At 37.0% G+C, this 25728-nt stretch overlaps 1 protein-coding gene across 11 annotated transcripts in view; it reads left to right on the top strand.

The window, feature by feature from the left end:
- JMJD1C (jumonji domain containing 1C) overlaps positions 1-25728 on the top strand; it is a 354666-nt gene that overhangs the window by 94834 nt on the left and 234104 nt on the right. Inside the window, exons 1-2 of one of the 11 annotated variants that reach the window (XM_017015898.2) lie at positions 7228-17194; positions 18663-22163. The exons of the other annotated variants lie outside the window; for them this stretch is intronic. The gene's annotated coding sequence lies outside the window, so the exon portion shown is untranslated. Of the gene's footprint in view, positions 1-7227; positions 17195-18662; positions 22164-25728 lie in introns of those variants that run through there. 11 annotated transcript variants of the gene reach the window in all.

The raw sequence follows: 25728 nt of genomic DNA, 5'->3' as shown, positions 1-25728 counted from the left end.
CAAACCACATTATAAACCATGATACTTATTTTTAACGAGGATGTCTTAAAGTTATTTTTAAATCTGTGCTTTTTAAGGAAATAATCGAAGCAAAGGGAATGTTAAAACATCTGATTAGTTAGTTTTATACTTGATGATAAAGTGTATTTTTAACTATGCTAAATCAGTAATGGAGTCATGAAGCCAAGTACATTACTAATTTTCTATCTTTTTCTCTTTTGGAGAAAATATTATCTTACACTAGATACTCAGAGTAAGACTTCTAAAACTAGTGGTGAAAAGGAAAAAACTTCATATATTTCATTTTCTTTCTTGTGAAATGAGATTTTCATAAGGATAGTAAGTAACCTGTGGCTAAGGTATGTGTTGGGGATGATTCCATTGTCTTTTTTTTTTGAGACGGAGTCTCCCAGGCTGGAGTGCAATGGCGCGATCTTGGCTCACTGCAACTTCCGCCTCCTGGGTTCAGGTGATTCTCCTGCCTCAGCCTCCTGGGTAGCTGAGATTACAGGCGCGCACCACCACGCCCAGCTAATTTTTGTATTTTCAGTAGAGACGGGGTTTCACCATGTTGGTCAGGCTAGTCTCAAACTCCTGACATCGTGATCCACCTGCCTTGGCCTCCCAAAGTGTCATTGTCTTTTTATATTTACTGTGTAGTAGTAATACAGTCTCTTACGTTTAAGAATTTTTTTTTTAATAGATAGGGTTTTGCTCTGTAGCCCAGACTTAAGTGCAGTGGTATTCATAGCTCACTGCAGCCTTGAACTCCTGGGCCCCAAGGATCCTGTGAGGACTACCAGTATGCACCACCACACCTGGCTAATTTTTAAATTTTTTTGTAGAGAGAGGGTGGGTGTTGCTGTATTGCCCAGGCTGGTCTCAAACCTCTGGCCTCAAGCAATTCTTCTGCCTTGGCCTCCCAAAGTGCTGGAATTACAATCGTGAGCCACCAGGCCTGGCAAGAAATTCTTAAATGCATTGTGTCACATCCTTTTACATCTTACCGAAAAATAAATATAGAAGAACAATATAGAAAAATAATGCCTACAAAAATGTCTTAAAATTTGTTTTTAAACTTATGCCTGTGTATGTGTTTTCCCTAACTTACATAGTAAACATTGACATTCAGTAGGGCTGTGTCCTTGGCCTTTGCATATCTCCAAATTCAAGAACACTCACATAGAATATATTTCCGTTGAGGGGAATGTATTTGCAGAGTATTCGGTCATATAAAATGTTTAATTATTGTTTCAACTTTTGTGTTTTTATTTTGAAACAGGGTGTTGCTCTGTTTCCCAGGCCGGAGTGCAGTGGTGCAATCTTGGCTCACTGCCACCTTCTCCTCCTGGGCCTAAGCAGTCCTCCCACCTTAGCCTCCCAAGTAGCTGGGATACAGGTGTGCACAACCATGCCTGGCTAATTTTTTTTATTTTTTGTAGAGATGGGATCTCGCCATGTTACCCACCCTGGTCTTGAACTCCTGGGCTCAAGCGATCTGCCTGTCTTGGCCTCCCAAAGTCCTGGGATTAGAGACATGAGCCACTGCGCCCAGACTTTTCAGTTTTGACTGAGATTTTATTTGTCATGTGATATGCAGTTTGGACATGGTTTAGAGAATTCACAGGAGCAGTTTCATCACTCCTTATTTCTTTGTAGATTGTATAGAGACTTTTAATCTCATAAGATCTAAACTACCACTGAATTTTTTACTGTGTTTTAAAATTCACCTAAAAATTTTGGCTTTCTGGCCTCCCCTGCATGCCTGACTATATCAAAATTCAGTTTTAAAATTTTTTATAATTTAAGGATATAGTATTAATAGCTTCATGTCAGTTTAAAGGAAATATATTATTTGCAGTTGTTCAAAATTTTATCTGTATTTATACCTATATTTTACTTCAGGGTTCCCATCTTTTCCACTTTTATTTTTTTCCCAGAAAATAAGGTGAATTTCTAAAATTAGAAATAGCAGTTAAGTAGTTAGTGCCTGTGTCCTGTAGTTCTAGGTGTTTATGTGTAATAGAGTAGAAATTATGGAAAGATATTTTCAAGCTGGTAAGTTGGTGAGCGGCCACAGTTAAAAGCTGAAGGGTTGAATGTTTCAGCATGAGAAATAGTGGCGGGAGGATTTCTAACTTACTCATTGATTGTGTTCAGTTCTGAAAAAGTTTTCTTGATGTCCCATTGCAGATTTGAATGTGGTCTTATAATACCCCAAATGTATCATCACTTTTATTTCTCTGAGTAAAGAAAATCTGGTGTCGAGAGTTTGCTTTTGCTGATTGAGCAGTTTATACTTTTTTCTCAAGAAATTGTAATACCTTTTATCATGATGTTCAGGTCTGAATGATAGATCCAGATTATTTAAAATAATGGGTTTTGGGCCAAGCATGGTGGCTCACACCTGTAATCCCAGCTACTTGGGAGGCTGAGGTAGGAGGATTGCTTGAGCCCAGGAGGTCGAGGCTGCAGTGAGCCACAGTCGCATCATTGTACTCCAGCACAGGCAACAGAATGAGACCCGGTCTCAAAAAGAAAAAAAAAAAAAAAAAAAAAGAAATAATAATGGTTTTTGTGTAAGTTAAAGATGATGTTGAGCAAGCCACTTTAAAACAACACTGATTTTTCCATATAAACAATAGTTTTATATGAAGAAGTGTCATTTTGTTTTTCATTTCAAAAATACAGGCCATGTGCAGTGGCTCATGCCTGTAATCCCATCACTTTGGGAGGCCATGGCAGGGGTATTGCTTGAGATCAGGAGTTCAAGACCAGCGTGGGCAATATGGCGAGACACTGTCTCTACTTAAAAAAAAAAAAAAAAAGCTGGGTATGGTGATTTGTACCTGTAGTCCCAGCTGCTACTCAGGAGGCTGAGGTGCAGGAGGTTTACACCTTCAGTCACTTCAGTCCATGAGGTTACAGTGAACCACGATAATGCTGACAGTAAGATCTTGTCTCTAAAAATCCATTTTTTAATTAAAAAAATACACACAATCATATGTCTGACAATGGTTTAATATGCAGAATATATAAAGAACTTCTAAAACTTGAACAACAGGAAAACAACCCAATTTTAAAATGGGAAAAGGGCTTGAATAGAAATTGCTACAAAGATATGAAAATGGCCATTAAACATAAGGCAAGATCGTCAGTATCTTTACGCAAATGTAAATCAAAACCACTGTGAGATTCAAACTTACTAATATGACTATAATTTTTTTAAAAAATACAAAACCTGGAAAACATCAAGTGTTGGAGAGGATTGGAGAAATTGGAACCTTCATACATTGATGATGGGAACGTAAAATGGTTTAGCCACTGTTGAAAGCAGCTTGGCAATTCCTCGAAAAGCTAAACATGGAATTACCATATGACTCAGCAATTTCAATTCTACATATTTATCCAAAAGAACTGAAAGACTCAAACAGATACTTGTATGCCAGTACCATTATTCAAAATAGACAAAAGGCAGAAATAACCCAAATGTCCAGCAACAGAGGAATTGATAAATAAAGTGAGGTGGCTATATAATACAGTGGAATATCATTGGTGCCTAAAAAGGAAGTTCTGAGGCATGATACAACATATGGATAATCCTTAAAAACACTATACTATGTGAAGTAAGCCAGACACAAAAGGACAGATATATTATTCCACTTAAATCTAGAATAGGCAAATTCATAGAGACAGTAAATTAGTGATTACCAGGGGATGGGGGGAGATGAGAATGAGGAGTTATTGCTTAATGGATGCAGAGTTCCTATTTGGGATGATGAAAAAGTTTTGGGCCAGGTGCGGTGCCTCACGCCTGTAATCCCAGCAGTTTGGAAGGCTGAGGTGGGCATATCACCAGAGGTCAGGAGTTTAAGAACAGCCTGGCTAACATGGTGAAACCCCGTTTCTATGAAAAATACAAAAATTAGCTGGGTGTGGTGGCACATGCTTGTAATCCCAGCTACTCAGGAGGCTGAGGCTGGAGAATTGCTTGAACCCAGGAGGCAAAGTTTGCAGTGAGCCGATATCGTGCCATTGCACTCCAGCCTGGGTGACAAGAGCGAAAACTCAGTCTCAAAAAAAAAAAGAAAAAAAAAAAGTTTTGGTAACAGTGGCGACAGTTGCATAGGGTGTGAAGTTATTTTAGTGCCCTTAAATTATACATTTAAAAATGGTTAAATTAACTTTATATTATACATCTTATCACAATTTTTGTAAAAAGTACATGTGAATACCTTTTCACTAAACTGCCCTCTCGTTAGTATGGAATGGCAAAGGCTATATCATCCATTTGAATATTTTCTGTGCCCATGATTTAAACTTTCCCAAGTTCCACTATTTATTTTTGTGGTAATCAAATTCAGGAAGCATATTATTGCCCTCATGCTCTCTACGCAAAAAGTAGCATATAGTTTGGAAGTCCAGTACGTTTAATGTTCATTGAGTGGGTCTACAGTAGAGACTCCTGCTTTGAATATATATGATTAGAATTAATGTTCTGAAGAAAAGTGCTTGGGCTGAGTAGAAAATATAAGATATTCCAGATGGAGGAAATCTTGTAAGCAGAAGTGTGAAAAAGGTAAAATAGATCTATTATTTGCCATATTAACATGAGCAAATGGCAAGTGTTCTTTTTTTTATTTTTAAATGAGACATGAGACAGAGTCCTGCTCTGTTGCCCAGGCTGGAGTGCAGTTGGCTCACTGCAACCCCGCCTCCTGGGTTCAAGCGATTCTCCTGCCTCAGCCTCCCAAGTAGCTGGGATTACAGGCGCACACCACCACACATGGCTGATTTTTGTATTTTTAGTAGAACTGGGGTTTCACCATGTTGACCAGGCTGGTCTTGAATTACCAACCTCAGGTGATCCACCCACCTCGATCTTCCAAAGTGCTGGGTTTACAAGTGTGAGCCGCTGCGCCCAGCCCCTTCTTTTAAAATACACATTGTTTTTATAATAAATGGTGTCTCTCTCTTCTATGATCTCAAAAAATGTTTCATTGTATTTTTATCTTTAAATTTAACACCTTGTATTTTTAATCTTTTAAAAAGTGAAACGGGACTGTATTAGTTTGCTAGGGTTGCTATAGCAAAATATCATAGACAGGTAGCTTAAAAACAGAAATTAATTTTCTCACAGTTCTGGAGGCCACAAATTCAAGATCACAGTGTCATCAGGGTTGGTTTCTAGTGTGGGCTCTCTTCCTGGGTTGCAGAAAGCTGCTTTCTTGCCATGTCCTCACATGGCCTTCTCTTGTGTATGACAGGGTAAGAGAAGCAAAGAGGAAGTGAAGCTCTGATATTTCTTCCTCTTAAAAGTACTCCAGTCTTAATCAGATTTCACTTCAGGGTCTCACCCATATGATCTCATTTATTCTTAATTATCTCCTTAAAGGTCCTATCTGCAAATATAGTCAGACACATCAGGGGTTAGGACTTCAATATATTAATTGGGGGGAAGGAGCACAGCAGTTCAAAATAATAACAAAAAGTACACAAAGTACAAATGTACAACTCAACTAATCATTCTGAAGAGCACCTGTGTAACTATCCCCCAGGTCAAGAACTAGAATATTGCCAGCACTCCAGAACCTCCACCAGTTCAACTTCCCAATCATCACAAATCTCTTCTTCTACCTAGAGATAATTGCCAACTTTATGGCAATAATTTTCTTGCTTTGCTCTATATAGTTTTGCCATCTTAAGTTTACATCTTTTTTTTGAGACGGAGTTTCACTCTTCTTGCCCAGGCTGGAGTGCAATGGGGCGATCTCGGCTCACCTCAACCTCCGCCTCCCGGATTCAAGCAATTCTCCTGCCTCAGCCTCCCGCGTAGTTGGGATTACAGGCATGAGCCACCACGCCCGGCTAATTTTGTATTTTTAGTAGAGATGGGGTTTCACCATGTTAGTCAGGCTGGTCTCGAACTCCCGACCTCAGATGATCCACCTGCCTTGGCCTCCCATTGTGTTGGGATTACAAGCGTGAGCCACCACACCTGGCCTGAGTTTGCATCTTATAAGCAATGTCTAAGATCTGCGGCAGTGTGTTTTTCATTTTTTTGTCTTGTTGGGATTTTTTTAGTCTCACCAGAAAGTTATCAGTTTCAATAATATTTTCAAAAATGCATGTTTTGGTTTTTTGGTCTCCATTATACAATGTTTGTTTTGTACTTTGTTGATTTTGTTTGTTTTGTACTTTGTTGTTTTCTGCTCTGCTCTTTATTTTCTTTCCTTTTACTTTCTTAGAGTTTGTCTGTTTTGCAGTTCTCTTTCTAATTTTGTCAGGTGTTCTTAACTAATTCTTTCTTTCCCAGCCTCCTTTTTTTTTTTTTTTTTTTTTGAGACTGGGTCTCGTTTTGTTACCCAGGCTGGGGCAAAGATGGCTCATTGCCTCCTCAGATTCCCGGGCTCAAGTGATCCTCCTGCCTCAGACCCTGCCCCGCGCCCCCCACCCCCCATGTAGCTGGGACTAAAGGCGTGTGCCACCATGCCTGGCTAATTTTTGTATTTTATGTGAAGACGGGGTTTTGCCATGTTGTCCAGGCTGGTCTTGAACTACAAAGTTCAAGCGATCTATGCTACACCTGCCTCTGCCTCCCAAACTGCTGGGATTACAGAATGTGAGCCCCCATGCCCAGCCCTTTTTTAGTCTTTAAATGGGCCTTAAAGACCCATTTGAGCCTTTAGATTTTCCCCTTTATTCTTACACTGTGTTCACAAATTTTCATATGTGGTACTTTTGTTGGCATTTAGTTTTACAGAAATACTTACAAATTTTGTTGTTTATTGATTCTGCTGGTTTTTCTTCATGTCACCTTATTTTCTCATGTACTTGTTTATCTGTGATTGTGTGCTGGGCCCTTCATTTGAAAAATTAGTTGTAGAAATAACTTAATGTCTGGGGTGATTTTTTTTTTTTTGAGACAGCGTCTCCTCTGTTGCCCAGGCTGGAGTGCAGTGGCGTGATCTCGGCTCACTGCAGCTTCTGCCTCCCGGGTTCAAGCAATTCTCCTGCCTCAGCCTCTTGAGTAGCTGGGACTCCAGGCGCGCGCCATCATGCCCGGCTAATTATTGTATTTTTAATAGAGACGGGGTTTCACCATATTGGCCAGGCTGCTCTCAAACTCCTGACCTTGTGATCTGCCCACCTTGGCCTCTCAAAGTGCTGGGATTACAGGTGTGAGCCACCGCGCCTGGCCTTTTTTTTTTTTTTTTTTTTTATTTCATGGAGGATTTGTATTTCTTTCATCCAGGTGCCTGGTGATAGGGATTGTCTGATTAACTATCCTTTTCTTAGTGTGATTTGAGATTTTCTAAGCCACCTTGATTACTCAAAGCTGGACTGCAGACCATAAAGGAACTGACTTAATTCTGGGTTACTTTTGCTCCCAGGATATAGCCTTTCTGAATTCTAACTCAATCAGGGTCTTTACCTTTGTTGGAACCCTAGATTTGGACTTTTTTAGATCTATTCTGTAGAAGCCACCAAGTCTATTTCTTGGCCTTTCAACCCCAGGACAAAAGTAGCTGACAGTGCTTTGCTTATTTCTCTCCCTGGGTTTCTCACCTTTTCAGGTCTTGGCTCAGTAGTTCTTGTCTGTTTTATTAGTACATGGCTTAAAACCCCCAAACTTAAAGTATATCTTATCTATATATATATTTTTTTTCGAGACAGAGTCTTGCTCTGTCGCCCAGGCTGGAGTGCAATGGTGTGATCTTGGCTTACTGCAACCTCCGCCTCCTGGGTTCAAGCCATTCTCCTGCCTCAGACTCTCGAGTAGCTGGAATTACAGGCGCCTGCCACCATGCCCAGCTAATTTTTGTATTTTTTAGTAGAGATGAGGTTTCACCATGTTGGTCAGGCTGGTCTCGAACTCCTGACCTCAGGTGATTGACCCTCCTCGGCCTCCCAAAGTACTAGGATTACAGACAGGAGTCACTGTGTCTGGTCCTTATCTAGATTTTTTTTTTTTTTTTTGAGATGGAGTCTCACTCTGTTGCCCAGGTTGGAGTGCAGTGGTGTGATCTTGGCTCACTGCCACCTCCGTCTCCTGGGTTCAGGCGATTCTCCTGCCTCAGCCTTCTGAGTAGCTGGGGCTACAGGCGCGTGCCACCATGCCTGGCTAATTTTTGTATTTTTGGTACAGACAGAGTTTCACTATATTGGCCAGGCTGGTCTCGAACTCCTGACCTCGTGATCCCCTGCCTCGGCCTCCCAAAATGCTGGGATTACAGGCATGAACCACCATGCCAGGCCCCTTATCTAGATTTTTAATGGTCATGGGAATGTTTGATGCTGTTCTCAAATATACGGGAAGCAGAAACCCCCCCCACATGATATTTTAATTATTTGTTTATATGTCTGTCCTTTCAGTAGGGTGGCCTTTTAAATTTATTTTTAGTATTTCTCTGCTGTAAGCCTTTTATTGTTTGTAACTCAGCACCTGATAATGTCTGATACATAAGTGCATAGAAAATATTAACTGGTTTTGGCATGGCTTTAAGAAAAAATTGTGAAGGTATCCTTTCCTTTGAGCCATAAAGGAAAATTGAGATTAAATCTAATTGTTTTATTTGTTGTACCTTCAGTACCAGACATAATAAATTTGGATGTTAGTGGCAGTGGAAAATCATGGGATAATTTCTGAATAACCACTTAGTGCCTCTTAAATGTGGTTAAAGGGAAGATTAATTTCAAAACTGTATGCAGGATAGATGAGATATTTTGTCAGGATGCATTTTATAAGTATTCTATAGTATGGTAATTTTTAAAGTGTGGTCCCCAGACCAGGTAGCATTGGCATTACTTGGGATTTTGTTTGAAATGCAAATTATCTGATCCTGCCTCAGATCTTCTGAATGAGAAACTATAGTAGTATGGCTAAGCAGTTTGCTTTAAAAGCCCTCAATTAGGTTCTGATGCATACCTAAATTATTGAGCTACTGCTGTAACACAATAAAACAGAATATGATTTTGATTTAGGCCCCTTAAAAGCTAAAGGTTATTTATCTTTCTATGATGAGAATATTTTTGGAAAATATTTAATGCAGTCTCAATGTTGATCTTTCTTTAGAATTAAGTTTTAAGCCTCTATAAAGTCATTAGGTTTATTAGAGCAAAATTATGACCTGAAATAGTTGAGTTCGTTGAAAAATAAAAACTTGTCTATGTTACACAGGAAAATGATACCAGTCTAATTGTTGACAATAACTGGCTTATTCCAGTTGCCTTGCAGTGTTCCTTAAGGGAGTGGATTGTTTAGGACCTAACTTTCTTAATACAAGTTTCATTAGAAGTAAATTCTCTATTTTTTCATTGTTTGGAAGGAAATATTTAACATATACAATATGATGGAACTTCTGTAGAATATAGCATAATCACAGAGACAGTTGTATCCATCCATTTCCTAGTCAGTTTCACCATATTTTTAAATGAGGCACAAGATTACTGTGTTATCAAAATGTTAACATTAAGCTTTTTAACAAGTCTGTGTAGTCACTTGATTTTTCAGATTTTGCCCACTAATTTTATGAGGGCCATTGGGCAAAGTGTTTTAATCCAGAATTTAAAATTGTTCATTTGTAATTGGGCAGGCTTATAAAAAGGGGCATATTTTAAATCTTTATCATCACTTTATAGCCATAATATACATACTAAAAGTTTGGTAGCAATTTGAGTATTTAACTACATAGGGTGGTACTTTGAAGGAAAAAGCATTTTAAGTTGAGCTTTAATTTAATTTCTGCTTTTAAAAACCCAATATAGTAGTACGTCATCTATGTATGTACATTGAGCATGCTTCTTAACATATTTAACTTCCAATTCTTTGATAACCGGTTGCATTCAATTACTTGTTTAAATAATTGGGCAAGTTTCCTGAGTTGTAGGCTGTGAAATATTTTCAAGATGGTTTGGGTAAAAAATTTTTTCAAAGTAGGTGCCGTCAGTGACTTTGATCACAGAGAAATCAGTATGATCCTGTGACAAGTTTAGTTTTAACAATGTAACTTCTTGTGTAAACTCAGTCACCTAGTAATGTGAATTAGTTGCAAAGTGATTCTGTATTCTTAGTGACCCACTGTTAGATGTTTTCAGACTAGTAAATGATAAATATTTATTGTTAAAATCATCCTTAAAATTTTATTTGAACATGCAGCACTTTTTGCAGTGTGAAATTGAAAAATCAATTGTTTAGTTTTTACCAAAGGAAAATTAGAGTTTTGTATACATATTTGATGAATACAGTAAACAGGTTAAAATTTAGCAAATAGAATTTTGTAAGCATTTTTAAAATGTGTGAATTCTGTGATAAGGGGGTGGCTTTGCTACAATTTATTACAAAGCTAAGTTATATTTCATTACTTATGTAAAATAGTGTTCTTTGTTTAGCTTCTTAAAGTGGTAGGAGAATTGTATAATTCCATTGATTGGTTCCATGCAGTGGAAATCTGACCTTTAGCAGATGTTTGAGAAATTGCCAGCACAGCATGATCAGCCAAAAAGACAGTTTTCCCCTTGTTACTTGACAGGCCTTTCATGCTTTAGTAACATGCCAAAGAAATGTTTAAATTATTTTTTTATAATATCACATGCTCTCTAAAATATTAAGAATACATTGAAAAACATGCATAAAATGAGATAGATTTTTCCTGCAATTACGGATTGCAATTCAGCTGACTTTTAAATGTTTATTATTAAAAAAAAAAAACTAAGATAAATGCTGATTGTTTTGTGAATTATGTGTTACTTTGAGATTTAAAATGTCTTCGGCTATGTAGTTAATTGTTATTAGGGTTTGATGTGTGTTATTTTTTCCATGATCATGTTTTCCATGATCATGTATAACAATTTAAACACTGTTATAAGTTTCTCTTATTTTAGTGTTATTTAATCGCAAGTATCGTCTTTGGTTGGCTTTTTTATTTTTTAATAGAGGCTTTTTGATAGGGGTTAAATGCATCACAGAGAAGTTATCCTATCTGGAACTTCTCGCTAAGGGCAGGATACTGCATGAATCCACTTTAAAGCCTCTTCTCTGAAGGACAGTATTTCTTTAGAGAATGAAATGGGTTCAGCTGTGTAGTTGTGGGGGTTCAGCTGTGTAGTTGTGGGAGTTCAGCAAAAACACTGTAAGCTCTGTTTTCTTCAACTTCATGGATTGAGCGTACAGGAAGGGGAAGGAGTTGCCTTAATGTTTAAGAATGAAGTGATGAATTGATAGTATCAGCAGTTGCCAGACTGTATCTTTTTCTGCAGGTGCTTATTTTCTGTAGGGCATTGCAGTTGTTTTTCATTGTGTTAGGTTATGAGACGATTTTAAGGAAAATTTAAGGAACATGATCTTACATAGTTTCATTTTACAGTTTTGTAACTGTTTTGTATGTCTTAGGTTTATATACTGAATTAGTTCTTCCAGAGGATTATGATTGAAAGTTTTGGCTGTGTGTACCTATCACCTTACAAAAATAAAAAGATTTTTTTAAAGGTCATGTTCAGTATCAGTAGTTCTAAGAATATGCTAAATTAAAATTTAAAAATCAAACACCTATAATAAAGTTTTGCTGAATCCACATGAATTGAACTAATGGTTTGTAATACCAGTTATATTACAAGTGAGAACTAGTTTCATATTTTGATATATAAAAGCTTTGAAGGAAGCATAATTGATAACTGTTTATTAATATCACATAATAGTTAATCTTTCATATTGGTACTTTCTGATAAGGTTTTATTAGATGGAGAAGGGTTATATAATTTAGTAAACTGGCAGCTTTTAAATGAATAATGACACTAAAATTTAAAGATTTAATCATAATGAGGTATATCTGATACGTAGTACCTGTGATATTATATATTAATAGTAAAGTCATTTTATATAAGGAAAAATTTTATTCTTAAGTGGGGTTTTCTAAGTAACTATATGTTTACACAAAGTCATACTGTTAACATTTAGTCACTTCCAGAGTCAGTGGAGTTGTATCCTGAAGAGGATTAAATTGCAAAGTTGGCACAGCACATAAAGCAAAAATGCACTTAAATTCAGTTCACTTTTAAGGCCTTGTTGGGAATACCAACCTATTGTTTGTCAGTTCATCCAGGACAGTTTTTTTTTTTTCTCTAGTGTTGGAATAATTTTTTTTTTTTTTTGAGATAGAGTCTTGCTGTATCGCCCAGGCTGGAGTGCAGTGGCCTGATCTCAGCTCACTGCAGCCTCTGCCTCCTGGGTTCAAGTGATTCTCCTGTCTCAGCCACCCGAGTAGCTGGGTCTACAGGCACCTGCCACCACAACCGGTGAGTTTTGTTGTTGTTGTTGTTGTTATTTTTAGCAAAGAAAGATGAAGTTTCACCATGTTGGCCAGGCTGGTCTTGAATTCCTGACCTCAAGTGATTCACCCTCCTCAGCCTCCCAAAGTGTTGGGATTACAGGCATCATCTACTGTGCCCGGAGCAGAATAAATTTTTAATATATATTTTGATAGGCTGATTTTCTTGCATCTCGATTTTTCTTGTATGTCAGTAACTGGAATCACAGTTACCTTTTGAGCACGGTGCTCACATTATGAGAGTTGAGAAAATTACGGGGAACAAACTCTGGCCTTATGGTGATTCTGGTTAGACTTGAGATCTCTAAATTGATATTTTTAAATGAGAATATATAATACACAGACTAAAATATACATTTTAAGGTTAAAAAAAGAGAAACTGTTTACTAAGAATGTTTAGTAGATTCAGTTTTCTTAGTGTTTAATACTAGAAAATACACAGTATTGGCTGGGTGCGTGGCTCATGCCTGTGATCCCAGCACTTTGGGAGGCCGAGGCAGGCAGATCACGAGGTCAGGAGATCGAGACCATCCTGGTTAACACAGTAAAACCCTGTCTGTACTAAAAATACAAAAAATTAGCTGGGCGTGTTGGCGGACACCTGCAGTCCCAGCTACTCGGGAGGCTGAGGCAGGAGAATGGCATGAACCCAGGAGGTGGGGCTTGCAGTGAGCCAAGATCGCACCACTGCACTCCAGCCTGGTCGACAGTGCAAGACTCCGTGTCAAAAAAAAAAAAAAAAAAAGTATTGATAGCATACTTTTAAGAAATCCAAATGTCTTTGTAAAAGTAGGTATTTTTCATTCTTTCAGTATCAGTTACTCTTCACTATGGTTCTTTTTCACATTTAAATAGAATCAAGGAACCTTTTATCTTTGGTTTATCTGGTATTTTTCAGTGTTAGCAATTTTGAAATTCTCTAATTTTTACCACAAACATTTTTGACTCTTTCATTCAGCTTATAATCTGAATTGACAGAAAAATCCAGGGAGAAAAGTTAAAATACTTCCTAAAGTTAAAATATTTGCTTTATTTAGATTTCTAGTATTTCTTATCAAGGAAAAAAATACTTTTTCATTATCTTATCGCTTGATAACCGTTTTTTGTCTCAGCTAAACGGAAGAAAAGTTACCTGGCAGCATAAGATAGCTATGAAGAATCTTTCCCCCACCAGAAAGAAGTTTAGCAAACTATTTTACTGAATAAATCTAAGACTTCCTCCTTCCCAGTAGTTGCCCACAATTTTCCTCCAATATGAGATTATGTCTCTATTTTGTAATTCTGCTCAGAAAACCTGTCTTAAAATCTACACATATTAAACTATAATATGTCATAAATTTTAAGAATGTTATTTAACAGAGGTAAATTTATCATGAATACCATATATTTAAGGTAGCAAAACATAAAGAGAGTAATAACCTCTTTTGATACTCAACAGCAGACCAGGTAAAGTCCAAACAGTTCTGTCTCATCAAAATAATGAAGGTTGCTTGTCTTTGACCTCTTTTCCTGTTACCTCTTTAAGAGATAACACACATATACATACGCTTTTGTAGATGAGACCATTCTAAAATTTATAAATTGTGTTGTATATCTTTGTCTGCCTGATTAAAATGGCTTGTCTTAAGGTAACACTGAACTGCTTAGTCTTTCAATAGGAATTTATTTAGCAACTACTTTGTGGTATTGTTTTGATATACTCTATTTTTGTGTTTCGGCTTTTTCTTATTTATTTTAATTAAATCAATATCATCCCTCGTATACACTATTCTTCTGTGCAGTTGACACTTGAACAATGTGGGTTTGAACTTTGAGAGTCAATTTATATGCAGATACTTTTAAATAAATATATTGCAAAATATTTTAGAGATTTGCAGCAATTTGAAAAAACTCATAGATGAACCATGTAGCCTAGAAATATTTTTAAAAATTTAGAAAATGTTAGGTATGTCATAAATGCATAAAATATATGTACATCTTAGTTTTATCATTTGCTACCATAAAATATACACAAATCTATTTAAAAAGTTAAAATATCAGAACTTTACCCACACAGAGACGTGACATGGCACTATTTACAGTAGAGAGAAATATAAACAAACATAAAGATGCAGTATTAACTCATAACTACATAAAATTAACTTTAGTACATGCTGTGATAGGTTTTTAGCCACCTCCTGTTTTTACTGTGTTGAACTCAAATGTTGCGAATGTCTGCTTAAAACTCAGTGTGATGCTGACATCTCCATGTGAGTAGTTGACCTCTCCACTAAATACCATATTGCAATAAGAAATGATCTCTCGCAGTCCTTGCATAATTTTTAATGTTGTTTAGTGCAATCTCGCAAACTTCGAATGATACCATAGAACAGAAATTTAGGAATCAATAAGTACAGTACTGTAAATGTATTTTCTCTTGCTCATAATAACTTCTCTAGCTTACTTTACTGTAAGAATACAGTATATAATAGACATACAAAATATTTGTTAATTGACTTTATGTCATTGTTAAGACTTCCGGTCAACAGTAGGCTATTACCAGTTAATTTTATGGGGAGTCAAAAATTACATTCAGCTTTTCGACTGGGCGGGCTGTCCTCAGTCCCAACCCCTGAATTGTTCCAGGGTCAGTTGTACATAGCTCTTCATGTTTTTAAAAAACACATTTTTGGCTGGGCATGGTGGTTCAAGCCTGTAATCCCAGCACTTTGGGAGGCTGAGGTGGGCAAATAGCTGGAGCTCAGGAGTTCTCAGGAGTTCAAGAGCAGTCTGGGCAACATGGCCAAGATCTTGTCTCTATTTAAAAAAAAAAAAAAAAAAAAAAATTGGGCCAGGCGCTGTGGCTTACGCCTGTAATCCCAGCACTTTGGGAGGCCAAGGTAGGTGGGATCATGAGGTCAGGAGATCGAGGCCATACTGGCTAACATGGTGAAACCCTGTCTCTACTAAAAATACAAAAACTTAGCTGGGCATGGTGGCACGCACCTGTAGTCCCAGCTACTTAGGAGGCTGAGGCAGGAGAATCACTTGAACCCAGGAGTTGGAGGTTACAGTGAGCCAAAGTTGTGCCACTGCACTCCAGCCTGGACAACAGAGTAACACTCCGCCTCAAAAAAAAAAAAAAAAAAATCAGGCCGAGTGTGGTGGCTCACGCCTGTAATCCCAGCACTCTGGGAGGCCCAGGCAGGCGGATCACCTGAGGTCAGGAGTTCGAGACCAGCCTGACCAACATGGTGAAAACTCGTTTCTACTAAAAGTACAAAAATTAGCCGGACATGGTGGTGGGCACCTGTAATCCCAGCTATTCAGGAGGCTGAGGCAGGAGAATCGCTTGACCCCGGGAGGCGGAGGTTGCAGTGAGCCAAGATTGGGCCACCTACTCCAGCCTGGGTGACAAGAGCGAGACTCCGTCTCAAAAAAAAAAAAAAAAAAAAAAATCAGTGACACATTTGTATCTACTCATGTAACTACCATGTTTCTCACTCACTGTAGTTAACCTGGTACCTCTACCCAGTCTATACCGCCCCTCTGTTCCACTGATCTCAGTTCTATCACCAAAGATGAGATTTTCCTGTTGTTGAACTTAATATAACTGGAATCATTCAGTGGCTTTTTACACTCAGTATAATATCTGTGAAACTTAATATATTAGATTCCTAGGGCTGCCATAACATCACAACAAATTTGGTGGATGGAAACAACAGAAGTTTATTCTTTCATTGCTCTGAGGACCAAAAGTCCAAAACTTCTTCATTAAATGGGACATAGACTGATTAGTAACAAGATTTACTTGTCTTTCTCCATGGTTTCAACAGTGAAAAGTAGTTTTAATGTTGACTGAAAGTTGATTAGTGCTTAAGACCTGAAAATGCTTAGGATTGTTTGCTGTTGGAAGATACGGCTCTTATCTACTTTTCTCCATTAGAGCTCTGGAGTTCTCTTGGGCCTAGAAAGAAGTAATTTGGAACAGTTAGTGTAGTGTGGGGTATTATGAAAACCAAAATAGAGTATTATAATAAAATATATAATAAAAACATACATAAAATTACTGGTTTGGGCTCAGTATATTTTTTGTCTTTAAAAAGAAGATGCTAACTCAAGGAAAGGGTAATAAGGTATGCTGGAAAGTTTATTTGCTTAGAAGTTAGGACTGATTTCTGGTCCTGGCTCTGTCATTAATAATTATGTCTCTGGATTCTTATGGAAGGTTTTTCCAGTTCTTCATATGACAGCTTGGTATTAGCAGTGGTCCTGACATTTATAGATATTATCACTTTCTTTCACCTCACTCACTCTTCATTTCCTTCACAGTATTAACAGTAACCTTTTCTGTTACATTTTGTTAACTTTAGAAATAGTAGATCATGTTAGACTAAGTAGAGATCACAAAAAGATGAGATTTAGGAGAAATCCATAGATGTTTTGAACTGTGGATGAATAGTTCACCAACTATTTCCTGTACACAAAAGCCATGCAATATATGTGATTAAATTTGTGCCTTGGTGAAATAATATGTTATATGTCACTGTATGTATTGTGGGGTCATTTATAAATGGTTACAATATTTTAAAGTAGGAATACCTAGGGTCTGCTTGTCGTTAGTTTTCTGTGATAGATATTCGACAGTGCTTCCTGGCATTTAGGAAGGGGCAGTGAGATCTTTTAATACATCTAGAGAAGACACTTCCTTATATGATCTTTTCATTTATTCAAATATATATTTATTACTTCCTCTGTGCCAGGTACTGTGTGGCTGAGCAGCCTAGACTTGATTCTGTAAAGGAAATTAAAAATCCCAGGACCCCCAGACTCCTTATGCAAAAGGAAAGTTAATCCTGGAGTCTGAGTCATGCAACACACTCTTTCAAGTGAGTAGCTGTTACTAACATTATGCCTTAACCAGATCCTCATGTAAAAGTAAAAGACCTCAGGCATCTATGAAAGACTTCCCCTACAGATCACTGAAAAGCAAATGCTTCGCTGGTCTCCCACAAACAGATACATGCCAGTTGTAACTTTAGGTGTACAATCTAAGTGAAGCTCCTAAAACTAAGGTCTGTTCTGTGCCACACTGATAATGTCATTTACAATCTTACCTTCTCAGATGCAGAACAGAGACAAGAATAGTCATTCTTCCACTGACCCAGAGATGTCTGCAGAATTGATTTTTCCTTTACTCTGTTTTTCCTTCATTCACCTAATATTATGTAAAATATAGTTTTTACTAGATACCAATTAAAATCTCACAGGAATTTAACCATTCACGTTACTGCCTACCTGTCCCTCTTCCTACATGCCTGCCCCGCTTTAAGGAAACACATAAATAGGAAACCTCCTGAAAATCTCTTTGGAAAAACAGTTACATATGTGTTGGTTTTTCCTGGATGGGCCCTAAAGCTGGCTTAATAAACCTTGATTGGTTGAGACTGTGGCCTCAGTCACTCATTTTGGTTGCCAGTTCCATCCCTCCCAGAATTTTCTGTGTATGGAAGTTGTTTTATGTATGTAGTAAGATGTCAATTACGAGTGGTTTGTAATGACTGTGCTTTTGAAATGGTAGTACTTATTAAACATTAGTAATTTGAGAAATTAACCTGCATGAGACTTAAGAGAGAACATTAAAGTAAACATTTAAAAGTTTTATTTCTAAAATGTCAACACAATTTTTGGTTAGCTACTTAGTATATGTTGACTTTTAATTTCTTGGAAAATACTATTTTTTTGGAATTAATGATATGTACTTGCCACTGATTAATCAGATACTCCCTAAGTTACGTAAAATCATTTCAGTACATTCAGGTTTGTATATTAGGTATCCTGTCAATTTTATCTTCTTTATGAAATCTTTCCTCAGGCCTTTATATCTGTACTGGCCCTCCAGGCCTCTTGATTTTATGTGACTATCATCTTGGTGATTTCCTTGACTCACTTTTGCTGGATTCTTTTCGTGGATTTCTTGTCTTAGTTTATTCTCTTGTATCGATGGAGTATATCTTACTCCTTTAAAAAAAAAAAAACCACCCTACATTTAGGATATACTTGATGGCCCGTTCATCTGAAAATATCTTAATTCTACTCTCAAACTTGACTCAGACCTGACTGGATATAGAATTCTAGATGAAAAATTAGAAATGATTTTTCCTCAGAATTTGGGAAGCATTAATCAGTGACTTCCAGATTCTGAATTTGCTTTTAAAAAGTCAGATGTTGTTCTGGTTTTTGATCTTTTATATAAAAGAAACTTGTGGGATCTTTTCTTGTGTCTCTGCTTGGAAATTTCACAATAACTTTCCTAGATGTACATTGATTTTTATCTGTTTTTTTTTTCTGAGACAGTTTTGCTCCTGTGGCCCAGGCTGGAGTGCAATGGCGCGATCTCGGCTTACTGCAACCTTCGCCTCCCAGGTTCAAGTGATTCTCCTGCCTCAGCCTTCCGAATAACTGGGATTACAGGCGCCCGCCTCCACGCCCAGCTAATTTTTTGTATTTTTAGTAGAGAGGGGGTTTCACCGTGTTAGCCAGGATGGTCTTGATCTCCTGACCTCGTGATCCACCTGCCTCGGCCTCCCATAGTGCTGGGATTACAGGCATGAGCCACTGCACCAGGTGATTTTTATCTGTTGTGCTTAGCTTTTGAGGAGTTGCTTTTCAGTTTTGAAATTTATGAGTGTTAGTTCTGAAAAGTTTTTCTGAATTGTTTCTAAGATTCTCTTTTTTCTCTGTTACGTTTCTCTTTTCTGAAACTTGTGTTGGGATATTGAACCACACTGATTCTGTTTTTCCCTTTGTCTCCTATATCCTTTATGTTCTACTTGGAAAAATTTTCAGCTTCCTTTTCTAAACCTATTGTATTTTTTATTTCTGCTATCATAATTTAATTTGCTAAAGATTTTTTTCTGTTTTTTTTTTTGTTTGTTTCTCCAGATTGTTGTATTTTGATAGCATCCTTTTGCTTTTGATTATGGTATTTTCCTCTTACCTCATTCAGAATATTCTTTTTTTTTTTAATGTTTTGTTTTCTTCTCTTTGGTCTATTTTCTTCCTGTCATTTTTCCCTATGTATATTTTAGTCTCTGTATTTTATGTCTAATGTTTTCTTCAAATGAAATTCCTGACAATTCTTTCAGACTACTTGTATGTAATAGAGTAACACTAAAAAAGTACATTGGAAACTCTGAGCATGTGGGTGGACTTTGTTGGATGTCATCTTATCTATTTGAGATCTGCTCATTTCCATAGGGGAATACCTAATGTCTGTATATTTAGATTTTTTTAAAGTGGTTAGGTTTCCAAAGAAATCTGTCAGTGCTTTATCTGGCTTTCAGAGTTATGCCCTATGAGGAAAGAAGACTGAGGATGAAAGGAGGGTCTAGTCCTAGACATATTTCATTATGTCAGCTTTCACTTAATCCTTCTTCTGTTTCAATGGTAATCTCTGCCCTCAACCTGTTTTAATATGCTTCTTGGTCCAGGGACCCTTTCATAACCTTTTCTAAGAAATAAACCTTTTTTTCGTACCATAATGGGAAAGGAGACAGTTGCTAGGCTAGAGTCAGGGAGAAATCTGAGAGTCTAGCTGCTGCTTCAGTAGACTATGGTCAGTCTTCCTGTTAGCCCTACTTTACCCCTACTCAATTTTTGAACCTTTGGGGCATAGCTTATCTTTGGTAATTTAGCATATTAATCAGCTTTCCCTAATATTTGGCTTTAGATTAAGCTTCTTTTTTTTTCCACTAAGTTAGCTACCACTGGTTTTGCTGTTATTTTAAAATTAGTTTATTTTACCCATCTTTTCAATCTGTTGAAACCTTACAATCCTCATCATCCAGCATGTTAATTATTATTCTTTGAGTCCTACATTCATTTCACAATTTGACTTTTGTAAGTGTCTTGACTGAAGTGTAATGATAGAGCCCTGTGGAATATATTTGAAGACATTTTATCAATTTTACTTTAGTTCTTGGTTAATATTATAAGTTATGGTTGTTTATTCCAGCTATCAGTACCTGCTTGTGCTGTATTATTGAGTTTTTATTTTTTTATTTTATTCCTAAGAATATTTTCAGGATATTTTCCCATACTATTTTGCTTAAAAAAAAATCTAGTGTTGGATTAGTTATACTAGCCTACCTAAAAAGAAGAAATTTATTGATAATAAAAATTTAACATCACTTGTAGGGAAATAAAATTACCTCTTGGTGTAGCCTTTTTTCTTTTTTTATGCCTTTAAACCATCTTACAAATAAAAACTTCTGGACTTTGATATGGACACATATTGATGGATTATTAAACTTTTACACTTGAAACTTCTGTGATTGTTTGATACATATTTTCTAGGAAACGTTTTTCTTCATGTCCAAAATTGCTTATTAGAAACTGTTCTCTTCCAGTATTGTTTTCCACACATTGGAGATGCATACATGCCTAATTCCGACCTGTGATTAGTTAAGCTCCACAGAAAAAAACTAAATTTAAAAGTGACTAGATATTCTCTGTCTTCTTATTTGCTCTTCATTTACTTTTTAACTATGTTTCTTCTACCTTTTCCAGTTTTTTATTCAATTCTCCTTAGTGGAGAAGATGGATACAAAGCAGGAGGTGTGAGTAGTTGTTTATTTTGTCTGCATCTGTTAATATTACACCATCTTTCCCATGTAATATTCTTGTTTCTTCTTAGTTTAGCCTCCTGAATTTATGCAGGCAATGGGCTTGTTTGGTTTTCCTTTGTATTACTTATAAAATGTAGTTTGTTCTGATAACGTTCTTATAAGATTGATGATATTAATCTGTATATATGCATATTTGTTTCTCTCCTGTTATATATATGTCCTTTAAAAATTGGACACCAGAAACTATGTAGCCTCATTGTTTTACTCATCCCCTTCATTTATTCAGTCCACTGACAGTAAGTTCCTAATGTATGTCAGGCCCTGAGAAATCAAATATTGATATTACTTTTTACTACTAGAGTTACTACTTTCACAGGAAATGTCTGCTGCATTTTCTTATTAGAATTATTGACATCTATAGAATTAAAAAATACATCTTTTGCTTTTTTGTCTCCCATCCATATTGTCAAGTACTGTTTCCTTTTAAATGTACATGTGGGGCTGGGCGCTGTGGCTCATGCCTGTAATCCCCGCACTTTGGGAGACTGAGGTGGGTGGATCACTCAAGCCCAGAAGTTTGAGACCAGCCTGGCCAACGTGGTGAAACGTCGTCTGTATTAAAAATACAAAAAAATTAGCTGAGCTTGGTGGCGCACACCTGTAATCCCAGCTACTTGGGAGGCTGAGGCATGAGAATCGCTTGAGCTTTGGAGGCAGAGGTTGCAGTGAGCTGAGATCATGCCACTGTACTCCAGCATGGACAACAGAGCAAGACTCCATCTCAAAAAAAAAAAAAAAAAAAAAATCTACATGTGGTATTAAAGTAGACTCAGGTTTGAATTCTGACTCTCCCATGTATTAGCTGTGTAACAGATAAATCACTTAATCTTTTTGGGTCTTGAGTTCTCATCTGAAAAACATATTTAATACCTACTTTATAGGATTTAATTGAGAGAATTGAGGTGCTAAAAATGAAGTGAGAGAATGTACATACATGTGTTGTATAAACTTCTTAAATTTAAAAAGTTATATGATGGTAGTATTTTTATAAGGATTGCTATTCACATATTTATCCTTGCACTCTGTTTGAAATATAATTGTAGTTATCCTTGGGAGCAAGAACTAATTGTATCATGTTGATCCTTAAACATTGCAGCTGGTAAATAGCAAAGACTCCTACTTTTTGGATTGAATTTCTTCAGAAAATGGACTTAGAACAAGTGTTAAGGTAGTTGCTATTTCTTTTCACCCCATGTACTGCTTTTGTTTCATTTTAAAATTTAATGTTAAAACATTCTTTATATGACCAATTTTTGTTACATATTTATAAGTTAATAATTGCTTCTCTTTATCCTCCTTCCCTAATTACTATGTTGTCACCCTTGGCTTTATGGATTTTAGATGTTTTACATCTCTGCTACTCAGTAACCTTTCTTGTTCAGATCTGTTTTTGAAAAGATAAATTATACAGACGTGTTACTATATTCCAATCATAAATTTCATTTTTCTTCTTTTTTCATATTAAGAGATAATTTTTACTTCTTCATGTTAAAATCTCAAATATATCTTAATACTTACTGGGTATGCTAGCACGTAGCTATAGTTATTCAGCTACTCAGGAGGCTGAGGCACAAGGATCCCCCGGAGTTCAGGAGTTTAAGGCCTGCCTGGGCAACATAGCAAGGCCCTATCTGTTTAAAAAGAAAAAAAAATTAGCATGTGGTTCCACTACTGGAATATAAAAAGCCAAGATTAAAAATATTAGTGTGTCGTATATCTTTTCTCTCTCTGCTTTTTTTGGTCTCGTTTGTTTTGAAATGAGACTGGCCAATTTATCTGTTGGTTCTTCCTAAAATCAAATTTGCTGTTTCTCTAAATAACTGCATTTTATGTGTCCTTACTCTTTTTAACGTTTCATTACAGTGCAGTCTTGATCATGGTGACAAATATCTGTCCAAATATTGTCTCTCTAGTCTTTATGAAGTACATCATTCACTTTTTTTTTTTGAGATGGAGTCTTGCTCTGTTGCCCAGGCTGGAGTGCAGTGGTGCAATTTCAGCTCACTGCAACCTCTGCCTCCTGAGCTACAGCGATTCTCCTGCCTCAGTCTCCTGAGTAGCTGGGACTACAGGTGCGTGCCACCATACCAGGCTAATTTTTGTGTTTTTTGTTGTTGTTTTTTTTGAGACAAGAGTCTCACTCTATCGCCCAGGCTGGAGTGCAGTGGCGCAATCTCGGCTCACTGCAACCTCCGCCTCCTAGGTTCAAATGATTCTCCTGCCTCAGCTTCCCAAAGTGCTGGAATTACAGGCGTGAGCCACCACGCCCGGCCTTTTTGTATTTTTTAGTAGAGATGGGGTTTCACCATATTGGCCAGGTTGATCTCAAACTCCTGACCTTGTGATCCGCCTGCCTTGGCCTCCCAAAGTGGTGGGATTACAGGTGTGAGCCACTGCGCCTGGCCTGTACATCATTCTTTTAAGTTGGAAAAAAGAAAGGAAAACCAATGCTTAAACAGCGTTCGCACTTAAGGTCTGTTGGTTACTTTGTTAAGTCCTTTTGTTGTCATGCTTAATCCTTAAAACAGCCCTCTGAAATACTATTAATTTTGACTAACTTGAAAACTAAGGCTCAAAGACATTGTGTTCAATGTCTCTGGTTCTAATTCCAAAGAACATTGAATATGTCATTTCACAAGCTCTTATATGGTATTACCTATGTAACTTGATCATCTGATGTGAAGACCTTAAGTGATTTTAAGTACCACCTTTATTAGATTTTAGAAATATTATAAGTACTCTTTATTCATTGTCAGTCTTACTAAATTGGTACTTATCTGGAATGTACTTTGGAAGTTTGTTTCTGAAGTTTTAAAAAGTTACACAGTTTGGATAAGTAATGTACATTTGAGTGGTAGGATGACTTATACTAGCTTTGGGCATCCCTTGGCTTTCCTGGTGACACTTAAATTTCCAGCTTGCTGACACTAACCTCTTTCTCTTAAGAAAATAAAAGCAGAGATCCAGAGAGTGGTCTGTCCGTCTCAGTTTTTCCTTAACTTTCTTTTGGTTTCAAACATTATTTCAATCATGCTTTCCTTCTACCGTGATGGAAAAATGAGCTTGGTATGTTTTAGGAATAGGAAGAAGATTACCATACTGATCCGTAGAGTAAGGGACAAGTGGTTGTTAGCAAGGTCAGAGGAGTCTGCAGAAACCAGATCTTCAGGGACTTAACTAGCATAAAGAGTTTAGATTTTATTCTAGTACCCTGGAATGCTAAATTTTAAAATAAGGGGCATGATTTGACATCTTTTTTGAGGTTTTTAACATGTTATTCCACACACAAAAAGGAAGATTTAAAAATATACCCATTAAACTGCTAAAAAGTAAATCGAGTGGTGAGAATCTAACAGAAGTCTAATTTCTAGTATGTTTATTATATGGTTGTAGTTACAGGGACTCTTCCTAGCTTAAAGCTGGGGCTCTGGAGGCTATTTTATACTTTAGTGCAACATGATAGGGAATTAAAGTGCAGAAATGTTGGTTTATTATCACATTTTTCTATCCCAAAGTGGCATGAAGAAAACAGCTACTTGACTGCACAGCTTTTGGGAATGGGGATAAGGCATTATGATATTCCTAAAAACATCCTGTTCAGATGAGTGTTACATATCATCAGGTATTAAGCTTCTGCTCATTTACACAGTCACAATTTCATTTATTCACTCAACACAAAGGACTAACAATTTTTAAAAAGAAAAGGGAAAGTGGAAAGTTTATTTTAACGAAATGTTACAAGTATTCTTCGTAAATGTACTTACTTTCTCATTTTATATGTAAATTATGGTTTTAATTTTTTATTTCTCTGATGATTTGTGATATTGAGCATTTTTTTCATGAATTTTGACCATTTTTTAGCCCTTTGTATGTTTGCTTTTGAAAACAATCCCCTGCCCACTTTTTTTGTTTTTTTTTCTTTTTTTTTGAGACGGAGTTTGCTCTTGTTGCCCAGGCTGGAGTGCAATGGCGCTATCTGGGCTCATTGCAAACTCTGCCTCCCAGGTTCAAGCGATTCTCTTTCCTCAGCTTCCCGAGTAGCTGACATTACAGGCATGCACCACCACGCCTGGCTAATTTTGTATTTTTAGTAGAGATGGGGTTTCTCCATGTTGGTCAGGCTGATCTCGAACTCCCGACCTCAGGTGATCTGCCTGCCTCGGCCTCCCAAAGTGTTGGGATTACAGGCGTGAGCTACTGTGCCCTGCTGGGTCCTCTTTTATTAGGGTATTAATTCTATACATGAAGGCTCTGCTTTCATGTGTTAGTCAACTCCTGAACGCCCCACTTCTTCATACCATCCCAATGATGACTAGGTTTCCACATACGAATTTTAGTGGGGGACACAAACATTCAGAATATAGGAGATATTTATAAAACAATCCCCAAAGCTTCATAATGCACACTCTTTTCAAGTGTACGTGGTGGTATGTTCATCAGGAGAGACCATATGCTGGGCCATGAAACAATCCTAAATACATTGAAACAGACAGAATTAATACAAGGGTATATTCTCGGACCAAAATGGAATTAAATTTGAAATCAGTAACAATACAAGAGGCCTAGGTGGGGGGATTGCATGAAGCCAAGAGTTCGAGACCAGCCTGGGCAATACCGTGAGATCCTGCTCTACAAGCAAAAACAAAAAGTACAGTATCTAAAAAGAAACCCAAATATTTTTACATTAAACACAACAATTTTCGACAACCTGTTGGCCAAAGTAATCACAAGGA

The sequence above is a fragment of the Homo sapiens genome, chromosome 10 (assembly GCF_000001405.40).
Source record: "Homo sapiens chromosome 10, GRCh38.p14 Primary Assembly".
In the NCBI taxonomy this organism is placed as follows: domain Eukaryota; kingdom Metazoa; phylum Chordata; class Mammalia; order Primates; family Hominidae; genus Homo; species Homo sapiens.
This window is presented reverse-complemented; position numbering and strand designations above follow the sequence as displayed.